Here is a 23,461-nt window from a genome sequence, read left to right as displayed (position 1 = left end):
TTACAGAAGTAAGTGCTCAATAAAGAGTGATTCAATCTGCATTTAAAACAGTGAAATTATTGGTGTTAGAGTTCTGGAACTATGAGCAAATGTAAAACTCTCTATCTGTCCTGCTCTGTTGCTCCAGATCCAATCAGAATCCACTATACCAGATAGATGAGACTGAGAGCTGATCTCTGCCCATCATAACCCGATATTCCAATTTGGCAGCTTAAGGCCAGCTCCTTCCATAGGAAGCAGTCTTCCCCATGCCCTTGTCACTGGGACTCCACATCTCCTTCATACCACAAGCAGTTCCTCTGAGGCAGAAATAGATATACTCACATGTGAATTTCTACTTGGAGAATACAGTAAAATATAACAGAAAAAATAAAACATTGGCCTTAGAGTTAAACAGACTTTGTTTCAAATCCCATCTCTGCCTCCTGTTGACAGCTTTTGATAAGGTTACTTACCCCTAAGACTCACTTTCTTTACCTGCAAAACGTGTATGACAATTGCCAACCCCTATTGTAGGTATAAGGCATAAATGAGGTTTGCAACCAACATTAGCTCTTAGCGGTGTCAGGATTAGAGCAAGTAATTCTTCCCTCTACTCAATATATGTTTGATAAATTAAAACTTACATTTAAGAACTCATGTGCTTTATGGAAACTCTTTGTACTTCAATAGTCTAAAACAAAGAAACCAATTTACAGCCGGCTAGTTATTAATTTACCTTCTCACAACTTGAAATTCACCCTTCATTGCCTGTTCTGCAATAATAAAGTTGGGCCTTTTAGACATTCTCCCTTGCCAGTTGATACACTGTTAAGCTTTGCCAGAAGAGGGCTCTGGAGGGACAGTGAAGGAAGAGGGATTTTCTCTTCCAGATTCCAGTGTGCTGCTTCCAAAAGGCTCCCATGGAGCAAGCTCCTGGATTCCCCCACATCTAGCTTCTCTAAACCTCAGCTCCTGCAATGCGCATAACCAGCAGCACATGGCACCTTCTCATAGGCAACATCCATGGCATCCCAAAGAGTGGTGTCCCAGGGATTTCTGCAGGTGTGGCATGTCCACCTAGATGACTTCCTCAGGTATGCCCTTTTATAGCCTTGCAGATTTGAAAAGTGTAGAACTTCTCCAGATACCCTAGAGTGCAGATTCATGGCAATTACCACTCACCTCAGTGATTTTCTCTGCCATACTAAGGGCCATGGTTGTGCTAACTTCAGTAGGGTCTGGATTTCAAGCCTGGATGGGGAAGTCACTTGTAGTTCTGTTTCTTCCTTGGGTTCTCTGCCCCAGCTCTAGGGGCAAGAGTTATTCCCTGTATCCGCCATTGCTGCATTCTTTAGAGATCTCTTCACTGTTGATAACCAATCCACCATTACTCTAATGCCTTTTTATAGTAATAATTATTCATATTAAACTTAACCAGTTTTCTCTTTTCTGCTTGAACCTTGACTGATACATTGGCTAATAACAAAATGGACACTGCACTCAGGAAACAGCAAAAAAATGCAGATGCCATGAAAAGAACAAAAAGAAAAAGTAATCAGATTTCTTCAATATGTCAAGATCACTGAAAGTACCAAAAGCTACAGTTTTAAGCACCGTCTGATATTTTTTGAAAAAGAAAAAAAAGCCTCTTGGGATGTGATGCTGGCAAAGGTACGAAGCCACACAAGCTAATCTAAGGGCATGAGGGAGGTTGAGGCAGGGATGCCAATGCTTTGATGCCTCATGTAAGGTAGGGTTCTGCACAATAGCCACAGGGTGGTCATAGCCACCAATAGGTTCCTGGTTCTCAGTCCTTGGCTCATATACCTAGCACCAAGTCCTATTTACAGAACATACCTGGACCACAGGGAAAACTAAAAGTTGGCCATTATGGATCAGCTTTCCTACCACCAGCTGCAAGCCATCCTTAGTCTGCAAAAATTTGCTCAGGCACAAATTAGCAGGCTTCCCATGGATAGGCATGTCTAAGTTACTGCTTCAGTAACTTGAGAGCAAACTATTGTCAGAGTAAAAAAGACATTGTTGGTTCTCTGACAGAGGAGGTCTCTAGTGACCAAAGGGAAGGGGGAAGTAACGTTTAGCTCAATTTTTAGGGAAAATTTTTAATTAAGAAAGCAATTCGAAGCACATCTTCTCCTCCTCCAAATGGCTTTGCAACAAAAATCTTCATACATAAATGCAGCTTAACAAGCTTTTTACAAGCAAACACTGTGCATCATTGTACCGTGCTAGGTAGTTAACACAGATGAGTGAGATTGGACCCTGCTCTGGAACGTTCCCAAGGAACAAACGCCATGCATGTGAGCATCCAAGGTTCAGTGGGGAATTCATATAGGTCCCGAGGACAGGTGGCTGCTGAGAGATGACCTGCAACTGGTTTCCAAGTGCTTCCTACTTATTTTTTGTTTTTAGTATGCAGTCCTACGTTCCTGTAGTAATTAGCAAACTAGCCTCCCTGGGCTACTATTTTTCAATGTGATTCCATAACCAGCTGCAAAACCATAAGGACAGGGTTCACAAGTTTCATAGAGAGCTCTAATTATTTCCATTTACAAGTGGTAAAAGATCATTCCAAAGAGGCACTGTTGTGGGCTGGCTGAATTATGTGCTTCCCAAATTCATATGCTGAAGTCTTAACCCTCGATATTTCAGAATGTGGCCTTGTTTGGAAATAGGTCTTTAAAGATCCTATTTAAATCATCAATTAAGTTAAAATGAGGTCATTGGGGTGGACTCTAATCCATATAACTGATGTCCTTATAAAAAGAGGATATTAGGACACACACACAGAGGGACAACTATGTGAGGACACAAAGAGAAGATGGCTGTCTGCAAGCCAGAGGCCCCAGGAAAAACCAGTCCTGCCATTACCTTGATCATGGTCATTCAGCCTCCACAATGTTGAGAAAATAAATTTCTGTTGTTTAAGCCACTCAATCTGTGGTACTGTGTTATGGCAGCCTGAGAAAACTAATACAGGCTGTATTAGTCTGTTTTCATGCTGCTAATAAAGATATACCTGAGACGAAGTAATTTATAAAGGAAAGAGGTTTAATTGACTCACAGTTCCATATGGCTAGGGAGGCCTCATAATCTTGGCAGAAGATAAATGAGGATCAAAGTCATGTCTTACATGGCAGCAGAGAAGAGAGCTTGTGCAGGGGAACTCCCATTTATAAAATCTTCAGATCTCATGAGACTTATTCACTCTCACGAGAACAGTATGGGGAAAACTGCCCCGGTGATTCAGTTATCTCCACCTGGCCCTGCCCTTGACACGTGGGGATTATGGCAATTCAAGATGAGATGTGGGTGGGGGCACAGCCAAACCATATCACAGGCTTCAAAATAATACACTGGGCCTGAATTCCAGCTCCACCACTTGATAGGTGTGTGACCCTGGTCAAGCTAACTTATCCTCTTTCAACCTTGGTTTTCCTAGCTATAGAATGGGGATATTAGTACCTACCTGCAGTGGTGGTTGTGAGGCATACATGAGATAATCCACATAAGGTGCCTGGCCCAAGCTCAGTAAATGAAATTAATGACCTTGGGAGATAATCTTCTTGATGGCACCCACCACTGCTAAACTCAGACAAAGCTACTGCATATCTGCAAAGCTAAGGCCTGGCTCTGGCAGCGGGCAGAGGGCTTGGCATACAGTCTACTCTATCTCCCTTGTATATTTAACACCAGAATGTCTTTGGCTCAAATGGGTACAAGAGCCAAATAATTATTATTCTTTAACTTATTCAACAGCCACTGCTGAAGGTATTCCTAGCATTCTTCTAGGCACTGGGGACGGTGGCCAAGAAGACAGACAAGCTCCTGCCCCTCATGAAGCTTATATTACAGCAGGCGACAAATAATAAACAAGTACGCCTGTAAGTCAATGAGATAATTTCAAGTAGTGATAAAAGCAAGGTAAGAGCTCCACTGATAATCGCCAAAGACTAGAAAAAACCCACACGCCCTTTAGTGGGTGAATGGACGAACAAACTGCAGTGAATCCACACCACAGAATACCACTTGGCAATAAAGAGGAGGCAACTGCTGATACACACAATGACCTGGGTGAATCACAGCCCTCGTACTGAGCAAAAGAGACCACTTTCAAAGGTTACAGATGATGATTCCATTATAGGGCATTCTCACAAAGAAAACCTACCTATAGTGATAGAGAACAGATGGGTTTAGGGTGGGAAGACAGTGTGATTACCAAGGGACAAAATGAGGGATTTGGTGTGGGCTCGGGCAATGGAACTGTTCTGTGTACTGATCCAGACAAATGTGAGAGCTGTCGACCGAAAAAAAGCCTGCCGAACTTACTCTATGTTAATTTAAAAACAAAGCAAAAACACACAGTGCCTGTTGGGGGTGCCTGAGGAGAGAAGATACTTCTTAAGAAGGTTGGAGGATAAGCTCCAGGAACAAAGGCAAGAGAAAGACAGCTGGAGCCCCCCACAGCTGGAACTGGAGGTAGGAGCACCGGCTGCCCTGGGCATTGAGAGGACAGGGAGAGTGGGAACAGGGAGAGACATGGCGTGGCTGTCTGGATCACCGCTGGTGGCCTCTCTCTGATCTCTGCCACCTGCTGAGGCCAGCCTGAAAGGAGGAAGGACCTCTCCAACACAGTGGTCAGGTGAGGACATGCGTCTCTGGCACACTGGATCCCAAGGAAGTATGGCATTTAAATTCCAGGTATGTGTGGGCTGCTGCCATGTCTGGAGTGATACACAAGGTTACTGAAAAACTTTGCCATCTTGAGCAGCATGGGAAGACTTGGAAACAAACATAACTATCAGAGTCCCTCCTCTGCAGGCGGCTTCCAGACAGAGGATCACCAGGTTCCCAACGTAGGGCTGCCATTTTATGGGACCTGCTCTGTTTCCTGATTGATGTTATGCATACAGACAGATGATGCTACAAAGCCAAATATCTGACACCTCACTGCTTGGGGATGCAAAGAAAAGGTAGTTCTCTATTTCCTGTAGCTGATCCAGTTTTTACCCACTGGGGATGGTGAAGAGAGAACAAAGTCTCAAAATTGCCTGCTGACAGTGGCTCCCTGTTCAAACAGCTTCCTCTGAGTGATTCAGGCTCTTTGGGGTGAATGCTCAAACCCCCTGATGTTCTCCAGGGGCAGCCTGGTGACAGTCAGGGGTGGAGGGCCCAGGACTCCCACAGCCATGTGCCTCGTCTGCCTGTCTGTGGTGCTGCCAGGGCCTGGCCTGCCCAGCCCACATCTTACCTGGAACCTTGGGGTCTGGCACTGCCTTCTCCCTTGCTGCTTCCTTCTCACCTCGGCTCCTGCTTTCTGAGCCTCAGCCATCTCCTCTGCCAGCCTGGCCTAGGCCAGCTTGGTGCTGAGGCCACCTCGCTCTCACGGCAGCCGGCTCATAGCAGGTCCCCAAGGCCTCCACTTGACACACTGGCTCAGGACATGGATGTCAGGGAAATCTGGCTCCCTTCTACTCCATGCTCAGAGACACTAATTCAGGTATCCTTCCTCTGCTCAGCCACACTGCTAGGACCACATGCTAGCTCAGGGCCGGCCTACACAGGGACTATCCCCCAAGACACATGGGTAGGGCCAAGGCCCTCAGCTTGCAGCTCCTCCATCATCCCACAGCCCCTGTTTGGGACCATCACCAGTAGAGGAGAAGCCAGGATGCCCACCTGACCACCAGCTTCCTCTACTTTCATCCTTCTCTTCCCAGGGGCTCCCACCCGCTCCCGTCTGGCATTATATACCCCTTTATGCTGGGGTTTCTCAACCTCAGCACCACTAACATTGTAAGCCAGATCATTATTTGTTTGGGGGTGGGGGCTTTCCTGTGCATTGTAGGATGTATAGCAGCATCCCTGGCCTCCAGCCTCCAGATGCCAGCAGCGCCTCCTACTTGTGACACTAAAAATATCTTCAGATACTGTCACATGTGCCCAGTTGGGTAAAATTTCTCCAACCCCACCCCGGTTTGAACCACTGGCCTCCACCATCTCTTTCCTCTTTCTGAGGTGACATCTGTCTTCCCCACTCCCCAGAGGCAACAATGGCAGAATGCATTTCTGGGAATAACACTTGTAGGGGAGGAGATCCCATTGGTTTACTATTTTCTGAATATTATTTCTGGTATTTTTTCCACTTCCAAATGGCACTGAGAGTTATGATTTAGCCCAGTTTCACAAAGGAGGACACTGAGTGTGACAGTTCAAAGCTCTGTCCTTTAGCCAAAGGGAGAGAGCTAGATGAAAATAAGACGGTCTGTTTTCATGGGCTTATACGTCCCTTAGAAGCCCAGACTAAACCTACTTTGTGCACCAGTGGCCTAGAATGTGCCTGGTGATTCTCACTGAAGTATCATTTCAGGCATGCTACTTATTCTTGGGAAAACAATATAATTCTTTTTTCTGTTTTTCTTTCATAGCCTCCCTTCAAGCTCACATTGTGTCTACACATTGTTCTTCAATTTTTCATCAGCCTAGGGCCAAAACTGAACACGACTCTGACCTATAAAATAAAAAGAGCATACTAATACATTGGAATCTCTTGACTAATGACATGGAAATAGCATCAATTTCTTTGCAAATACTGAGTCTGACACCCTTAGAGTATGAGTTAAATTAACTCCTGTTAAAATAGTTGATCAGGAGGCTGTTAGGCTAAGACAGCTATAGCACCTTGAGTTCCTATGTAGGCAAACCAAAACCCAAATCAATGCAAACAGTAAAACAAAAGTTAAAATTAACCAATCAGAAACCTCCAACTAACCTCCAACTAGGGACTTTTGACTTTAACGAATATATTTTCTCCCTGTTGCTGCAGCAAACACTTCATACAAGCTTCTTCTATTACCCCACATCCCACATCCCAACATAGTCAGTGGAGGGTTGAATTGTCTGGCATTGCCTAATTCATGAATAACCGAATGCTCAAATAAACTTGTTGAAATTTTAATGTCCCTAAGTTTACCTTTTAACACTCTCTAGAAGTTTTGGCCATCATTTTTTTTCCAGTTCATGAAAATGCTTGACCTCCACTGTCTTTAAGGCTGATAGATGGAGGTGCACACAGCTCTGTGGAAGGATATGGATGGGTGTGAGGGGTACAAGTGTTCAGGGATGGGGATATCAGAGCCCAGAGGCGGAAGGCCTTACTAAGGGTCCGTGGGTAATTCTGATGCATCCCCCATGAAGAGCCGTCTCCCAGATGACTGAAAATCACGGATCTACTCAAGTCTTTCATTTCACAGATAGAGGAGAAGAGTCCTTCAAAGAGAATGCAATAAGCCCAAGGTCACAGAGAGTTAGGAAAAGGGGGACCAAAATCCAGCCTTCCAACACACATACACACGTTTCTTACCACAGCATCATGCTTCTGGGTGTCACCTGTGCTATTACAAGTTAAACCAAATGAAATTACCAACTTTTATAGATTTTTTTTCCTGCAAAAATGGCAACTTCAGATGGTTCCACCTAACAAGAAGTAATGGAGAGAAAAAGACCACGTCTTAAATAATTTATAGCATGGGCCACTCCAACACTGTAGATAATATTGCTTCGCATAGCCCAAGAGGCAAACCTACAAGCGTCTCCCAGCTCTGTGGGACTTTAGACCATGAGTCTAATGACTAGAAACAATTTTCATAAAACCAAATAGCCATGGCTGACTGCTAGGATAATTCATCCCAGGTACAATGCCATAAAATCAGCTTTACAAGTGCAAAACCAGGATACCTGCATGCAAAGTTGCTAGCCATTTTAAATAAGTAAAAAAGACATCAGCTCTCAATACTGCCTGCAATATCTAAAAAGGGGCTAAGCAAAAACCAGTGAAATCTTTGGTGATTTTTCAAAAATTCTCATCATTCTCAGAACACACATGTGGGGCTTGGCACCTCCCCACACCTCTGTCCAGGCCCACAATCCTCCCGTCTCCACCTCACAGGGGCTTAGAAAACCCATCCTTCCAAGTGCTTTGCCCAATCTTTCTTTCCAGGGAGACCAGCTGCCCCCCACAGCCTGTGCCTCTGCTGCACTGAATGGTCTTTATAGCATAGTATATCTAACTTATTTCTTCAGCTATTTGCCTTCTCTTCCCCACAATAGGGTGAGCTCTTTAAAAGCAGAGATCATCACACTAATTGTTATACTGCAGAATACATCATAATATGCAATGCTATAGTCATATATTAATAATATTAACATAATAATATAGCATATCATCTTTTTTTAAAGTCATGGCCTATTTTTAAATTTTGAATTTAAAATAGAGCTGTGATATGGAGCCATTTTCTGTGAAATTCCTTAAATATCCAAAACCCTAAAAAGCTTACTACACTAAGGAAATTCGAGTAATGGCGCAGAGGCTCCAGTCCTGGGATGGCAGCTGTGAGGCCAGAGTTCCTGCCCAACAGAACAGCTCACACTGAGGATATACGGAGATCAATGTCGTTCCATGTGAGAGTGCAGACTTTTGGCAAATACCCCTCTGAAAGGACACTTTCAAGATTTTTTTTTAGGAAGTAGACAAGACTATGCCTCTACAAAAAAAAAAAAAAACTAAAAAGTTAGCAGGGCGTGGGGGCACACACCTGTAATCTCAGCACTTCGGGAGACTGAGGCAGGAGAACTGCTTCAGCCAAGCAGTGAGCTATGATTGCACCACTGCACTCCAGCCTGGGTGACAGAGCCAGAGTCTGTCTCTCCAAAAAACAAAACAAAACAAAAATTAAATAAATTATATAAATGTTTTAAAGTTTAAATACCATTCAGAGTAGGCAGAGGTAAATGCAGCCCCTGAGGTAGGTGGCAAAGTGGGAAAGGGAACTTACAGGAAACAGTGCTGTGACCTCACACAGCAACCATGGGTCAGAAGCATGAAACTCATGAAGGCAAGTTTGATCAAAAATGACTTAACTGCTCATATGATCCCATGCCATATGATCACAGTTTCCAAATTTTTAATGCTATTTGAGGCTTGGAAGCTTATCATGAATAGTGCAGGTATCTTCTCTTCTGTGTTTGACAATAAGACCAAATTATTCCTGTGTCCTTGGTAAAATGTCCCCTTTCCAGGTGCCTGTAGGCTTACAGGCCCCCTAGTAGGCAAGAAAAGACTCCAGGAAAATACAACACAATTATTTAAAAAGAAAGTGCAAATATTAATAATAACAAATCCTGCAGTAAATAGATTAGAGAGGTTAAACAATGTAAGGAAAGGAAAATAAGCAGAGCCACATAGTGTCTCAATTCCTCCTGGATACACCCTGCTTTGGTGTCTTCATCTCACCTTATTCTCCACAGGGTGAAGCAAAGCCTTACAGTGAATTCAGAAACATCACTAACCAAAATACTAACTAACTGCTAATACATCAGTTTGTATGTATCATGTCTGATTCTTTCGTAATTGTTGGATGCACCAAGCAAAACAGATTAGCATTTGTTCTCGAAGTTTTCCTGGAATTACTCCAAACAGTCCTCCTCTCTGTCTCACTGTCCTTGACTTTTCATATTAGAGTTCTGTAAGTTCACTGCATTAATTATTCTAAATAACAACCCCAACCCCCAAAGTGTCCTCTAAGGGAAGGAGTCAGCAAATCCAGATTTAACAATAACAATGACAGGAAAAACACTCAGGCTAAAATGAAGTAGATTCAAAACAAGAGCCTTCTACATAATCCAAGGCGCATAATAATTATGTCAGACATTTTTAAAGATTCCTTCCTGATTTAGTGTATGTATGGTCTATATGATTCTCATTTATTTTAACTTACCTTTTGAATGACCTTGTTAATTTCTGGAGTGTTTGGTGTGTATAGTATTTTTCCATGCAATATGGGTTTTAGGAAGGTCCACACCAAAGCACCATTTGGCAATTGTAGAATTTCCTGATAAAGCTTCAAGCAAAACGGTGCTGTTGCAATTAGAAAGAAAAAAAAAGTTGCTAATGATACACGATGCCTAGGTTAATAGGGAAATTCATTCACATATCCAGGATGCCTCATTTTCAATGACAGCCATATTTTTTTCTGACACCACTCTGAACTTTGGGAGTGCTATAGTTTGAATATCTGTCCTCCCAAACCTCAAGTTGAAATTTGATCCCCAGTGTTGGAGGTGGAGCCTAACAAGAAGTCTTTAGATCTTGGGGGCAGATCCCTCATGAATGTTTCGGTGCCATTGTCACAGTAATGAGTGTAGTTCTCACTCTATTAGTTCCCAAGAGAGCTGCTTGTTTAAAAATAAGTAAATAAAACAGCCTGGCATCTCCCTCCTCCCCCCTCTTGCTTCCTCTCTTGTCCTGTGATCTCTGCACATGGCATCTCCCCTTCAATTTCTGCCATGAGTGGAAACAGCCTGAGGCCTCACCAGAAGCAGATGCTGGTGCCATGCTTCTTGTATAGTCTGCAGAACTGTGAGCCAAACAAACCTCTTTCTTTACAAATTACCCAGTGTCTGATATTCCTTTATAGCAACACCAAATAAACCAAGACAGGAAGTAAAATAAGATTTTTTTTCCCTGTTATAGTTTTCAGCAGCTCTCAACTCATAAGAAACTTCATGCTATGTTCACTTAAGTGACTTCAAAGGCAGGAAAGAATGACTTACATTTTCAAACTAAGTAATCAAAAAGAGTATTAAATAATGACATGGACACTTGAAAATGAAAATGACAATTCAAAAAATAAATCTGGTTTTTCATCAAGAAAATTCTCATTTCAACAGTCACAATATTGAGACCGGAACTGAGCTTTTTTTATGAAGTTAGCTTTACAAGTTACTACTGAACTGTCTTTAATGAGCCCGTGCAGAACCATCAAACTTACGAATTTTGACATATTAAATTGCCTTATTTTCACGCAAGTACTTAATCCCTCTTGGTGGCTCTCATGAGTCTTGTGATGCTAGTTGATTTCAATTAAAGATTTACTTAACTAAATTGTCTAAATCAATGGTCACCTGATGAGGGTAGAGATTTCATCACCATAATGAGTAGGAACTAAATCTTATAAGGTTTTAAGCTAGTGAGGAATACTTCAGTATAACTATTTCTTTACTCATCAAGAGAACATTTAAAATGAAAATATTATTTTAGCTTTATAAGAATAAAATGAAAATATTATCTTAGATTTGATACTATGATTTATAAATACTCAAGGTATGATTGTTGTGGTTGTTTTAAATGTTACTTTCATCTTCCCAAACTTCCCATTTGAAAGGAAAAAAATTATTTGACAATAAAGTTGATAGAAATACTTTCCCCAAAGTATAAATGAAGAATATGACTACATAGGCCAGGCACAGTGGCTCACGCCTGTAATCCCAGCACTTTGGGAGGCCGAGGCAGGCAGATCACGAGGTCAGGAGATCGAGACCATCCTGGATAACACGGTGAAACCCCGTCTCTACTAAAAATACAAAAAAATAGCCGGCGTGGTGGCAGGCACCTGTAGTCCCAGCTACTCGGGAGGCTGAGGCAGGAGAATGGCGTGAACCTGGGAGGCGGAGCTTGTGGTGAGCCGAGATCAAGCCACTGCACTCCAGCCTGGGCGATAGGGCAAGACTCCGTCTCAAAAAAAAAAAAAAGAATATGACTACATAATACATTTTTAAGCCATTAATTATAGAAGTTGTTCTTACTGAAATTTAATGACCTACTCTTTACATTGCAAGCTTAATATGAACAGGAGCAATTTTATTGCAGAAAAAAGTATAGTCACGATATGTACAAAACTAAAAATGTTAACTCAGAAATCCCGACATGTGACCTACAGAAATTATGAGATGACAAATGTGTGTTTTCTTATGCCATTAAGTGTGCAATGATTGTCATGCAGCATAGAAAACGAATACACTAGGATACATTTATACCCTTATGCTAAGGCACCAACACTCCTCATATCCATTGCATCTCACAATAAGCTTATGAGCCAGGTGCTACTGTTTCTACGTTATAAATGAAACCAACATGATGCAGACACATAAAACAATGTGTCCAAAAATGCACAACTGATGGAGCTGAACCGTCTAAACTCCAAAACCTCACCAGCATGTTTATTCTGCCTTTCTAATAAAAACATCTTCACTTAAATTGGGGCCAAAAAATTATGTATTAATTTGCATTCATTTGTACCTATCATGACATATTCATTTGTACCTATCGTGACATATTCATTTGTACCTATCGTGGCATATTCATTTGTACCCATCGTGACATATTCGTTTGTACCTATCATGCATATTCACTTGTACCTGAGCTTCATAGAGAGCAAATTTGGAGGTGGCCACAGACAAGTTCTCTTCGTTATTATAATATAGCCATTTGCATGGACCAAAGCAGTGCTCATGGTCTTTATGCCTGGACCCTCACCAATACTGGTTAGCCTGGGAAACCAATGGGGCTGGGGTTTCAGGTGTTTTAGACATTTCCTTGGTGACACAGTTCCTTAGTGACTCAGGTGAGAGGATTTGTCTGTGCTCAAAGGCACTAGAACCGTTCAAAGTCAGCTGCCATGCCAGCATTTGGGGAGGTGGAAGCAGAAGATTCTATGCCAGTATATAGCAACCTTATACACAGACAGAATACTTACTATAATTTAAGGCCAATTATCAAGATACAAACGAATCTAAACACATATATATATATTACTACTGTCTTACTTGAATCTTCAGGAATGTTGAATTTTTCTTTGTCATCTTCCAAGAGTTCCTTAACTCTGGGCAAATTAATAAACATATTAGAATCGCTAAGGAATGATGCTTGGTCCTTGCAAACCATCTTCATCACAAACTGGAAAGAACCAAAAGCTGAACTTCTGGCCTGGACATTTTGTGAAACCTGAGAAAATAAGAAAACTAAATTGCAATTACATAGTGACTTAAAACAATTCCTTCACACACTTCTGAAAGTCTAGTTCCTTCCTCCACTGAATGTACAAGATATTCAACAAGTCAAAAGAATGGAATGTCTGCTTTAGAGTTTTCTGTCCTTGGGATACCATTTGAAACACTACGGTAACTTTTCTGGCCAACATACCTGGTAGAAGAGGGAAATGTCATACCTACACACACACACACACACACACATACACACACACACATAAGTCCTTACACTATTTGTCCAGTAATAAATTATTAATCCATAAAATATCACTAATTCAGACTAATTACTAGTCTTAATGTATGTCTATGCTACCAAGATATCCAGATATTTTATAGCTATACAAATTATCTATCACATGATGGACTTACATTCTGTCTCCAAGGCAGTTCTGAGAACATTGTTATCTTGCTCCTCATCCTACACGTCCAACCCTAAAATTTCCACACTCCTCCTCATTCGTGCCCAGTCAGTTCCATCCCAGGCAAAAAGAGTTCAAACAAAACCTAACATCAAGTCACTAAACTAAATCAAGTTTGTGTTTGCATTTGCAGTAAATGATCTGTAACTTGTAAGCCAATTATTTATAAGTAAATATATGTTTTAAGGTTTTTGAAAGCAATTTGCTCTCTGAATTAAGTTAAACAGGCCCTTGAAATCTCATCTGTGCAATAACTGAGTTAGTAATTTCTTACTTTATAGATAATGCATGTACTATCCCAATCTCCACACTGGTGGAATGTAGATCAACAATATCAGTTTCATGCAGTTTTTAGAGAGATGCCAGGCCTTATTCTATGTTATGCTGTTGCTTCCAGAGATATGAAAAGGTACTTTCATTCCTGTATTTTGCTGTCTAATGCAAATTTTAGATGTGGGAAGATAAAGGCAAAAAGGGGCAAATACAAAGAAGGGGCAAATTTGAATATTTCCCTAGGGACAAAGATGAAACACACACCTGTTGAAAGTCCAGGGTTTCTAGCAAGGCAGTGATTTTAAATGTGTGAAGAAACTCAGGAAGATACTCAAAGACGTGCTGGGCTTTGGCAAGCAAGGCGCTGAGGCTGGAAACTATATCCAGCAAGGAGTTGAGCAAGCCATTTGCTTCAGAAGGCATCAGAGTCTAAAGGACAAAACAAAAACAAAACAACATGAAATAACCAACACTGTATTTTTACACTCAGAAGCATCTTTTGAGCTGTGAAAACTTGTTTATCTGATTTTATTCTCTCTTGAACTTCAGAGACGCCTTTGCGGTACTATATGAAAGTTATCTTCATTAGAGTATATATAGCTCATGTGTTTTGGAGCACACTGAATTGCACTAGCATTGTTAAAATGTAAACCAGAAACAAATGTGATCTATCATTAAAATTCAAATCATTTGCCAAATATTTCTTTGTATCTTTGAGGTGACCAAGGTGGAAATTTGAGAAGAGGCTCAAAATATGAGCAGTCCTTATATGTGAAGCAATTTACATTTATCTACTGCTTTACAGTATTCATAGCATTCACACATCATCTCAATCCTCCTAATACCTTGGGGATGTGCATTATACTGTTCGTTTTGTGGATGAGAAAACTGGGGCTTGAGGAGATTAAAAGTCTTCCTGAAGTCTAACAGTTAGAAAGGTTCAGGGATGTGAATTTAACCTGGATTCTTTAAAAATGTCAGTGCCCTCTGAAGCTTACTTATGCTATCACCAACTGAAATGCTCTGTATTTTACATGATTTTTTTTTTTCATATTCTCAGTTCTACACTGGAGGCAAGGCTTTTCTTCTGTCTTGATCTTTCATGTAGCTACTGGGCATAAAATAGCAACAGGAAATATTAGTTGCTCAATAAATATTTGTTGGATGAATGGATAAATGAGGAAATGCCAGCTCTTCGCACAGAGCAGGGAAAATCACAGCTAATTTCCACTGTCTGTCATTTGGATATTGAATTTTCTGTTTTCCAGGCTGGGGCAGAGGAACCCAGTTGTCACTGCTTCTTATTTTTGCTCATTAGTGTTTTAGCTGTTAGCTCTGCAGATGACTTTCAGGGCTCCGGGATCACAGCTCCATCCTTCACAGAGGCACTCTGCTTATAATGACAGAATTCTGTCCATTCATACTATAGAGACAACTCTAGCAGGAGAAATGGTGTGTAGCTTTTGTCACTTCTTCTACTCATCTTTCTAATTGCAGCTGCCCTTTAAAAAAAAGTGGCACACAGTGACTGGCCCCTGACTTATGGTGGGGAGTGACAGGGATCCAGCGCAGCTCCAAGAGACCAGATTGATGTGCCGAATTAATATAGCAAACTGTGCTTTGCTGAAGGCTTCAGAAATTCATTGTCAGCTGAGTGAATCAGAAAGTACATGGACTTGGGAATGAGCTGCACCTGCACGTGGCCCTCACATGGAGGTCGGGCTGCCCTAACATCCTGAGCCATATCTTGTATTTAATCAACTTTCATAGAGCCCTTCATATAGAAGGTACCTGATAAATAAGAGCTGTTGTTATTAATGATGATGTCATTTTCATTGTGTCTGGGAGACTGAATCCAACCCACTATCTTATCCTTCAAAGAAATCTTGGTACAGATGATGGCCCTTGTCACAGTAATTATGTGGGCCTCTACAAGCACTTACTTCAAATCGGGGACCTTTGTGCACATAACAAAGTGGCCACTAAAGTAGCATCGTGCCAATGGGAGCTCTGTTTCCCAAAAGGCAAACTGTAAAGTTGGAAGAGAGGCTGTGGTGAGCAAATGCAGAGCTAAACCATAAGCATGTTAGCGAAAAATACGAATTCCACCAAGATAGAGGTGGGTTTGCAAATTATGGGGATGCAAGAAATGTTTATTCTCCTCCTTATGGGTTTAAAATGTAATCATTCTGAAAACAAATATTTGTTCTTGGAGTGTGTGTGTGTGGGTGTGTGTGTGTTCATTCCAACATTTACTCCCTGGACTCTTGAAGTAATAGAAACTAAGGAAATCATGCGTGGCTGAAATGGCAAATCTACCCTTTGCTGACTATAAAACTGTTCACCCAAACTCAGGGTGCCTACAGCCACCTTACCATAGTACAAACCCTGCAGCCTCTCTAATGAACCCAGAGGTTGTGAAATACTTCCCTAAAGGGAAAACAATGGTACTTGGAGCAAGATCAGTGCCTAAGGGTAAGAGGGGAAGCTTCTGGAAACTTAAGTAAAGATTCAAACAGTAGAGGCCAGAAGGAGGGGAAGCTTCTGGAAACTTAAGTAAAGATTCAAACAGTAGAGGCCAGAAGGAGGAGAAGCTTCTGGAAGGGGCAGCTTGAGAGCAGTGAGCTGTGGTTTGGAGCTAGGTTGCCCCTACATGGGTTCTGGGCCCGTCCGGAAAGTGCTGGGCCTGGGCTTGCCCCAGCTCCTCCTCACTTCCCACTCTCCACTCTCTCCTGCAGACTTCATCATCTTTAGCTTCCTCCAGTCCCTCCCTGCCCTCACACTGCTGCTTGTCAGAGGATCATGCTTGTCAGAGCCGGCACACACAGGGGATTGGGCTTCCTGTGCTGCCCACCCCTCCACATTCTCTCCAGGGCAGGCCCTGGCAGAGCTGGATGCTTCCCGCTGACAGATAGGGCCACCGTGCAGGGAGCAGCACCTAACTCGGGCCGCTCAGGAGTGGACCATGCACAATCCCAGCCTCCTCAAACATGCTCCAGGGAGGTGGCCCTTACAGAGGAGAGAACACCTGGCATTAGGAAGCGGTGCTGTGTTTTTGCAGTGGGTCCTTCCACAATGAGCATGGAGATCACCACCAACTCTGTCCCAATGCCCTGACACTTATTTCCAAGGACCCCCTGAAGGGTCTCCTGAACATCCCTTTATTACAACAAAGTCTTCTTGAGCCCCACCTTGGATTCAGCAAACAGGTGACACCAGAGGCTGGTGGAGACCACTGCAGAGTGGCCAGGTGCTGATCTCCCACTGCCGCACCCCTAGGACTACTGTACTTATCTGCAGCCACCACAGCAGAGTCCTGCAGAGGACTGCCCCCAGCCAGCATGCTCTCCATACCTTGTAAATGAAAGCTCGCACATCCAAGTTTCGACTCAGCAACACAATCAGAGAATACACTTTTGACCCTGGCAGGCTACAGAGTTCCTCCGCTGCGATCCAAGATTTTTCCCCTTTGGGAAATGTCAGCAGGAGATGAAGGATTTCCTGATCACACTTTCCAGACAGAGCTACGGTGAGGGCACTGAAGAGAACCTGTTTCAAAGCACAGAGATTAGAGGTGAGTATACCTATGACGTCATGTGCTTCACCACCTCAGACCGGAGCTTCATCGGCAGGGAGTCGCCCAAGAGTGGATTTCCCAACTCCCGGGACTGACCTGCAGATGCGGGGAGCCCAAACTGGGGTTCGATTCTCAACATTTTGATGGAAATGTTTCTGAAGTGCGCACATCATTCTCTGACTTCTTATAAAATTTGCCCTCGCTTGAGGTCTTTGGATCACCCTTCTGAAACTCTGTCCCTCTGCTCTCCACGAGGCTCACTCTGAATGCCCACCAAGCCCCCACCCTCCGATGCCACCCCCGTAGTTAGCATCTGTGTCTCGTTTGTCTGATATTAAGTCTTACCCTTGGCTTTCAGTTTATCAGCTTCCACTTTTCACCGTCATCAGTGTGAAGCTGATATTTTTTGCTCCTTCATTTTTAGATTGAAAACAGGATTACCAAGCTTGTTATATATTTTTTTAAAGCAAGTACACTCAGAAGGAGGCACTGAGGACAACTTATATTAGTCTCTAGTTTATTACTATCATGCATCGCAATTAAAGGCTTTGACACACCTCTTCATTTGGGTATGCTTTTCAGTTAAGGACATTTGTGATATGCCAAATTACAAAGCAAAATAAAACAAAAACCATACTTCCTGCTCCATGTTTTTGCTCCTGATGGGTATGATTGCTGTGAAACATTCAGGCCAACTGAGGCCGAAGTGCATGAACCTATGTGAATAGGAACCATGCTCTCTGAAGAAGAGCACGGAGAACTCAACAGATGCCATAAAATGTTCCCAAAATACAGTAAGATATAAATAATGGTGTAGTAGTCAGGGTCCTCCAGAGAAACAGAACCAAGAGAATGTGTGTGTGTGTGTGTGTGTGTGTGTGTGTGCAGTCATGTGTCTCATAATGACAAGGATACATTTGGGAAATGCACCATTGGGTAATTGTTTAATTGTGTGAACATCATAGTGTGCACTTACAGCATCCTAGATGATACAGCCTCCTACATACCTTGGCTATAGGGTATGGTCTATTGCTCCTAGACTACAAACCTGTACAGCGTGTCACTGTACTGAATCCTGTAGGCAGTTGTCACACAGTGGTAAGTATTTGTGTGGCTGAACATATCTAAACATAGAAAAGGTACAGTAAAAAGGTACAGTAAAAATACAGTAGTATAATCTCATGGGACCACCATCCTATATGGGGTCCATTGTTGACCAAAATATCGCTATCTGGTACATGATGACAAACCACATATACGGTGGTAGTCCCATAAGATTATAATGGAGATGAAAAATATGATTATAATGGAGATGAAAAAATTCCTATCTTCTAGTGACATCAGCCATTGTAGTGTTGTAGCCTGGCGTATTATTCAAGTGTTTGTGGCAGTGCCGGTGTAAACAAAACTGCTGCACTCCCATTCATAGCAAAAGTATCACACACACAATTATGTACAGTACATAATAGTGACAAGGATAATAAATGACTATATTACTGGTTTATGTACTAACTATACTATATTATCATTATTTTAGAGTATACTCTTTCTAGTTATTAAAAAAAATTTAACTGTAAAACAGCCACAGGCAAGTCCCTCAGGAGGTATCCAGAAGAAGGCATTGTTATCACAGGAGACGACAGCTCTACGCATGTTATTGCCCCTGAAGACCGCCCAGTGGGACAAGCTGTGGAAGTGGAAGACAGTGGTATTCATGATCCTGACCTCATGTAGGCCTAGACTAGACTGTGTGTTTGTGTCTTAATTTTTAAAAATACGATTTTAAAAGTTAAAAGTAAAAAAACTTAAAATAGAAAAAAGCTTATAGAATAAGGACACAAAGGAAAACAATTGTACAGCTGTGCAATGTATTTGTGTTTTAATATAAATGTTATCACTGAAGAGTCCAAAAGTTTTTTAAAATTTTAAAGGTTCGGCAGGGTGCAGTTGCTCACACCTATAATCCCAGTACTTTGGGAGGCTAAGGCAGGCGGATTGCCTGAGGTCAGGAGTTTGAGACCAGTCTGGTCAACATGGTGAAACCCTGTCTCTACTTAAAATACAAAAAAAATTAGTTGGGTATGGTGGCGTACACCTGTAATCCCAGCTGCTTGGGAGACTGAGGCAGGGGAATTGCTTGAACCAAGGAGGTGGAGCTCACAGTGAGCCGAGATTGTGCCACTGCACTCCAGCCTGGGCAACAGAGCAAGACTCTGTCTTAAAAAAATAAATAAATAAATAAAGTTTATAAAGTAAAAAAAGTTACAGTAAGCTAAGGTTAATCTATGATTGAAGAAAGAAATTTTTTTTTATAAATGTAGAAACACACAATGTTTATTGAGTCTACAGTGGTGTACAGGCATGTCCTAGGCCTGCACATCCGCTTGCCACTCACTCACTGACTCACCCAGAGCAACTTCAGTCCTGTAGCTTTATTCATGCCAAGTGCCCCATACAGGCATACCATTTTATTTATCTTTTATACCATATTTTTCAGTACCTTTTCTATGTTTAGAACAGGTATAGTAAAATACGTTCTTGTGTTTTCTATGTTTTGATATAGAAATACTTACCACGATGTTACAATTGCCCACAGTATTCAGTAGAGTAACCTGCTGTACAGGTTTGTAGCCTAGGAGCAACAGGCCATACCATATAGCCTAGGTGTGTAACAGGCTGTACCAGCTAGGTTTGTGTAAGTATACACTATAATGTTCACATAATGATGATATCACCTAATGATGCATTTCTCAGAATGAATCCTAGTCATTAAGTGACACATAGCATACATACATTGAGAGAGATTTATTTTAAGGAATTGGCTCATGCAAATGTGGGGGCTGGCAAGCCCAAAATCTGCAGGGTGGGCCAGCGGATTTGGGACCTAGGAAGGAGCTGACATTGCAGCTCACATCTGCGGACTACCTGGAGATGGAACTTACTCTTCCTTGGGGGACTTTCTTACTTTTTTTGCCTTCAACTGATTGGATAAGGCTGACTCACATTATGACGAGTAATCTTCTTTACTCAAAGTCTACTGATTTAACTGTTAATGTCATCTAAAAAATACCCGCATAGGGACATTTAGAATAATGTTTGAACAAATATCTGAGTACTGCAGCCTAACCAAGTTGACACACAAAATTAATCATCACCAATGGCTATGATACTCTAGTATGCTAGTGTGCATTTTGAGTCTTTAAGAAAGGATATTAAGTATTTTCATCACTAACTTACCAAAAAGACCTTTTTTCATATAGGGCTGGCATTGTGCAGACACACATTGGTGAAGTTTTCCTTAATGCCACTGTTTTCAATCATGCTGTCTCTGGGCAGAGGGGAAGCTCTCAGGAGGAGGTTGGGAGCAGAATATAGGCATCTACCCTTTGCTTTCACAAGAGGAGCCTCTCTTTGATCAGTCCCACAAAATAGGCTTTTGCATGAAACTATCCCTCAAAATGGACCTCATCCAAACCCCCAATTCAGGGGAATCACCCTGGCTTTTCATGAGCATCAACCCAAGCTGGCCCAATGAGAGTCCTTTCTGCATTTGTCATAGAACATTTGTATTAATTACTTTCTAGCATGTCACACAGTGGTCCCCATGCAAGATCATATTTAATACGTTTTTTAGAGTCTAGTCCCAGGACAAAAAATATTTGTCCTGAAATTTTTTACATCTCTTTTTACCAAATAGAGAGGATCCCACACCCTGTCATGTGGAAGCTCCGCAGTCACAATGCACAGAAGCCACAGCCCCAGCAGCACATTTGCTCCCTCTCCTTTCCTGTGGTTTTCCAAATATTACTATTTATCTTTTAAAGATTGTATTGCGTTCGTTCGTTGTTCCTGTTTGAGAGTAGGTAGGAGGGGAGGAAGATTAGAAAAGCAAAGACAACACTGAGTTGTGCTTGATTGGAAATATCTTGTGTGATTTCTATTCAAAGTAAAACAGGCACCTTTTATCTCGGGCTTTGCATAGGCTAATGCTGCAAATTATCAGAAACAGAATGCCAAGTTCCTGCTGATTTTCCTGTGTGTCAGTGTTTGGTTTGGAAAGCTGTAAGGGGGCTTAGGATCCAGGGCGATGCCTCTCTGCCCTGCGAGCCTGGCTCATACACACTTGGCCACTTAGATAATTATCTGAGTATTTATGTGGTTTAAAAATGACAATGATCCTTAGGAGAGGCATTTGCATTTTTAGCAAGAGCTTTGTTTATTGGACATCTGCTGAAACCCGAATCGCATTCAGAGGAGAGCACCAGAGATGGCCTCCATGTTGCCCAGCTGCTCATTGTAGACTCAGAGGTTGGGAAAGCATGGGAGGAAAGGCTGCCCTCAGCTCAGTTGTGACCGGAAGGGAAACACGGACAGTGATTCAAGGGAACTGGAGATGATGGGGAGAGAGAGTCTGCCAAGTTAGAATTTGTAAGACAAGACAATGAAAGGAGCGCAGGTATTTAAAAATAGGCCCTACGCCCTTCAGAGAGGAGCAGTGTGGCTCTCTGCCATTGGGGACCCATTTGAGCTCAGAGCTGCTCACAGGATAAAGAGGCAAGTACAAGAGATGAGCATCGGAGGGCAGGAGAAGGCTGCGAGAACCTGGCCAGAAGGACTGAAGCCACACTGTGGCAAGGTGGTGGATCCTGACTCCAGCTCTTACCGTCTGACTTCCTGAAAGCTGCTTAACATCTACACACTTCAGTTTCTTTGTCTATACAACCAGGGATGACAATAAAAGACAAAGGGCTCCAAAGGGTTGTTGGGAGAATTAAATGAGATGTAAAGCATTCAGCTCAGGGGTAGTGTATATAAGTGCTCAAAAATGACGTTACTACTAAGAAGCCTATCAGTCACTGCCAGCAAAAGCACAGTTTTGACTTACAGGATATTTAAGGGAAAAGATGAATAAGAATTAGGTGGGTTTATTGATTAAGGATGATGATTACACTTAAGAGAACTAATTAATTCCTTCTTGGTTTTCATATTCCTAAAGAGAAACATCTTCACACTGGAAGGGTAAAACAGGATGCCTAGGAGATCTGTGGATAAGCATCTTGGCAGCTGGCCTCTAGGGCAGTGCCAATGGTGTCCTTGCCCAGTAAGGCAGGCATCATTTGGCTGCAGTTCCTTTTTTTCTCAAATTTTATTTTAGGTTTACGGAGTACATGCAGGTTTGTTGCCTGGGTAAATTGTGTGTTGCTGAGGTTTGGTGTATGAACCATCACATCACCCAGGTAGTGAGCATAGTGCCCAATAGGTGGTTTTTCAACTCTTTTTCCCCCTCTCATCCTCCCCATCTGGTAGTCCCCCTCTAGTAGTCCCCCATGTCTATTGTTCCATCGCTGATCATTAGAGAAATGCAAGTCAAAACCACAAGGAGATTCTATCTCACACCAGTCAGAAAGGCTATTATTAAAAAGTCAAAAAATAAAAGATGTTTGTGAGATTGTAGAAAAAGGGAACATTTATACACTGTTGGTGGGAATGTAAATTAGTTCAGCCACTGCAGAAAGCAGTGTGGGGATTTCTCAAAGAACCTAAAGAGAACTACCATTCAGCCTGGCTGTAGTTCTTCAGTGAGGCCATGGCTGCTGTCTGGCCACCTTCTCCACCAACTTCTCTGTCTCCATTTCCAGTTCCCTCTCTCCCTGTTCCCTCTTCATGCCTTCAGAAAGAGTGACAGTTCTACTATCTACAGTTTTTAAGAAGTCGTGATGGAAATAAAAACTATCCAGGTTTTATTTTGTAAAGTAGACTTTAGAAATTACTAATAGATAATAATGTCAATTCTTGAAGAATTCTAATCATGGATTATCCAAAAGATTATGTGTAAGCCCTTGAAGAAAAAGAAAATTGCTGGAAACCATGTCGATACAGTCATGATCAATGAGCCATGTCAATATAAAGTCATTTTCTTTTAATGATGAAATTATTAGGCTAATAAATTACCAAGACACCCCAGACAGACATGTTGCAACTGATTTAAGAGCCCAAACAAATAAATAGGTGTTAGGTTATACCTTCCTATGCCATGGTAATCTTTCTGCACTAACGACTTGGATGAAAATATAAAAGATACTCTCATCTTTTGGTGACTGATGAAGTTGAGAGAAAAAAATGATACTTTGCAAATTAAAGTATCAGAATTTGATATCAAAAAACACCTTGAAAGAATATCCAATTAACCAAAACAGCATGGTACTGGCACAAAAACAGACACATAGACCTATGGAACTAATAGAAAATAGAGTCCAGAAATAAGGCCGTAAACCTATAACTATCTGATCTTCGACAAACCTGA

The 23,461-nt window shown here is 42.0% G+C and overlaps 1 protein-coding gene across 29 annotated transcripts in view, besides 2 other annotated features; it reads right to left on the bottom strand.

The window, feature by feature from the left end:
* The window catches only part of ABCA13 (ATP binding cassette subfamily A member 13), a 476,040-nt gene that overhangs the window by 320,422 nt on the left and 132,157 nt on the right, over window positions 1-23,461 (bottom strand). For 27 of the 29 annotated variants that reach the window (XR_926914.3, XR_926915.3, XR_926919.3 and 24 more), the window contains 4 exons: window positions 16,935-17,129; window positions 13,845-14,009; window positions 12,667-12,844; window positions 9,780-9,919 (listed from right to left, as the gene is read on the bottom strand). Coding sequence is in view for 26 of the 29 variants with exons in the window: in XM_011515130.3 (XP_011513432.1) it covers window positions 9,780-9,919; window positions 12,667-12,844; window positions 13,845-14,009; window positions 16,935-17,129 (678 nt within the window). In the remaining 3 variants the exon portion in view is untranslated. Of the gene's footprint in view, window positions 1-6,941; window positions 7,273-8,784; window positions 9,022-9,779; window positions 9,920-12,666; window positions 12,845-13,844; window positions 14,010-16,934; window positions 17,130-23,461 lie in introns of those variants that run through there. The other 2 variants (XM_011515148.3, XM_011515149.3) reach the window with 2 other exon arrangements.
* Window positions 4,807-5,306: an enhancer, noted in NCBI's record as "H3K4me1 hESC enhancer chr7:48361367-48361866 (GRCh37/hg19 assembly coordinates)". NCBI's record gives its function as "activates a minimal SCP1, AML or CMV promoter by ChIP-STARR-seq in naive H9 embryonic stem cells {active_cell/tissue: H9 hESC(naive)}" and the evidence as "EXISTENCE:reporter gene assay evidence [ECO:0000049][PMID:30033119]".
* Window positions 9,945-10,449: an enhancer, noted in NCBI's record as "NANOG hESC enhancer chr7:48356224-48356728 (GRCh37/hg19 assembly coordinates)". NCBI's record gives its function as "activates a minimal SCP1, AML or CMV promoter by ChIP-STARR-seq in primed H9 embryonic stem cells {active_cell/tissue: H9 hESC(primed)}" and the evidence as "EXISTENCE:reporter gene assay evidence [ECO:0000049][PMID:30033119]".

This window comes from Homo sapiens, chromosome 7 (genome assembly GCF_000001405.40).
Source record: "Homo sapiens chromosome 7, GRCh38.p14 Primary Assembly".
Taxonomy (NCBI): domain Eukaryota; kingdom Metazoa; phylum Chordata; class Mammalia; order Primates; family Hominidae; genus Homo; species Homo sapiens.
This window is presented reverse-complemented; position numbering and strand designations above follow the sequence as displayed.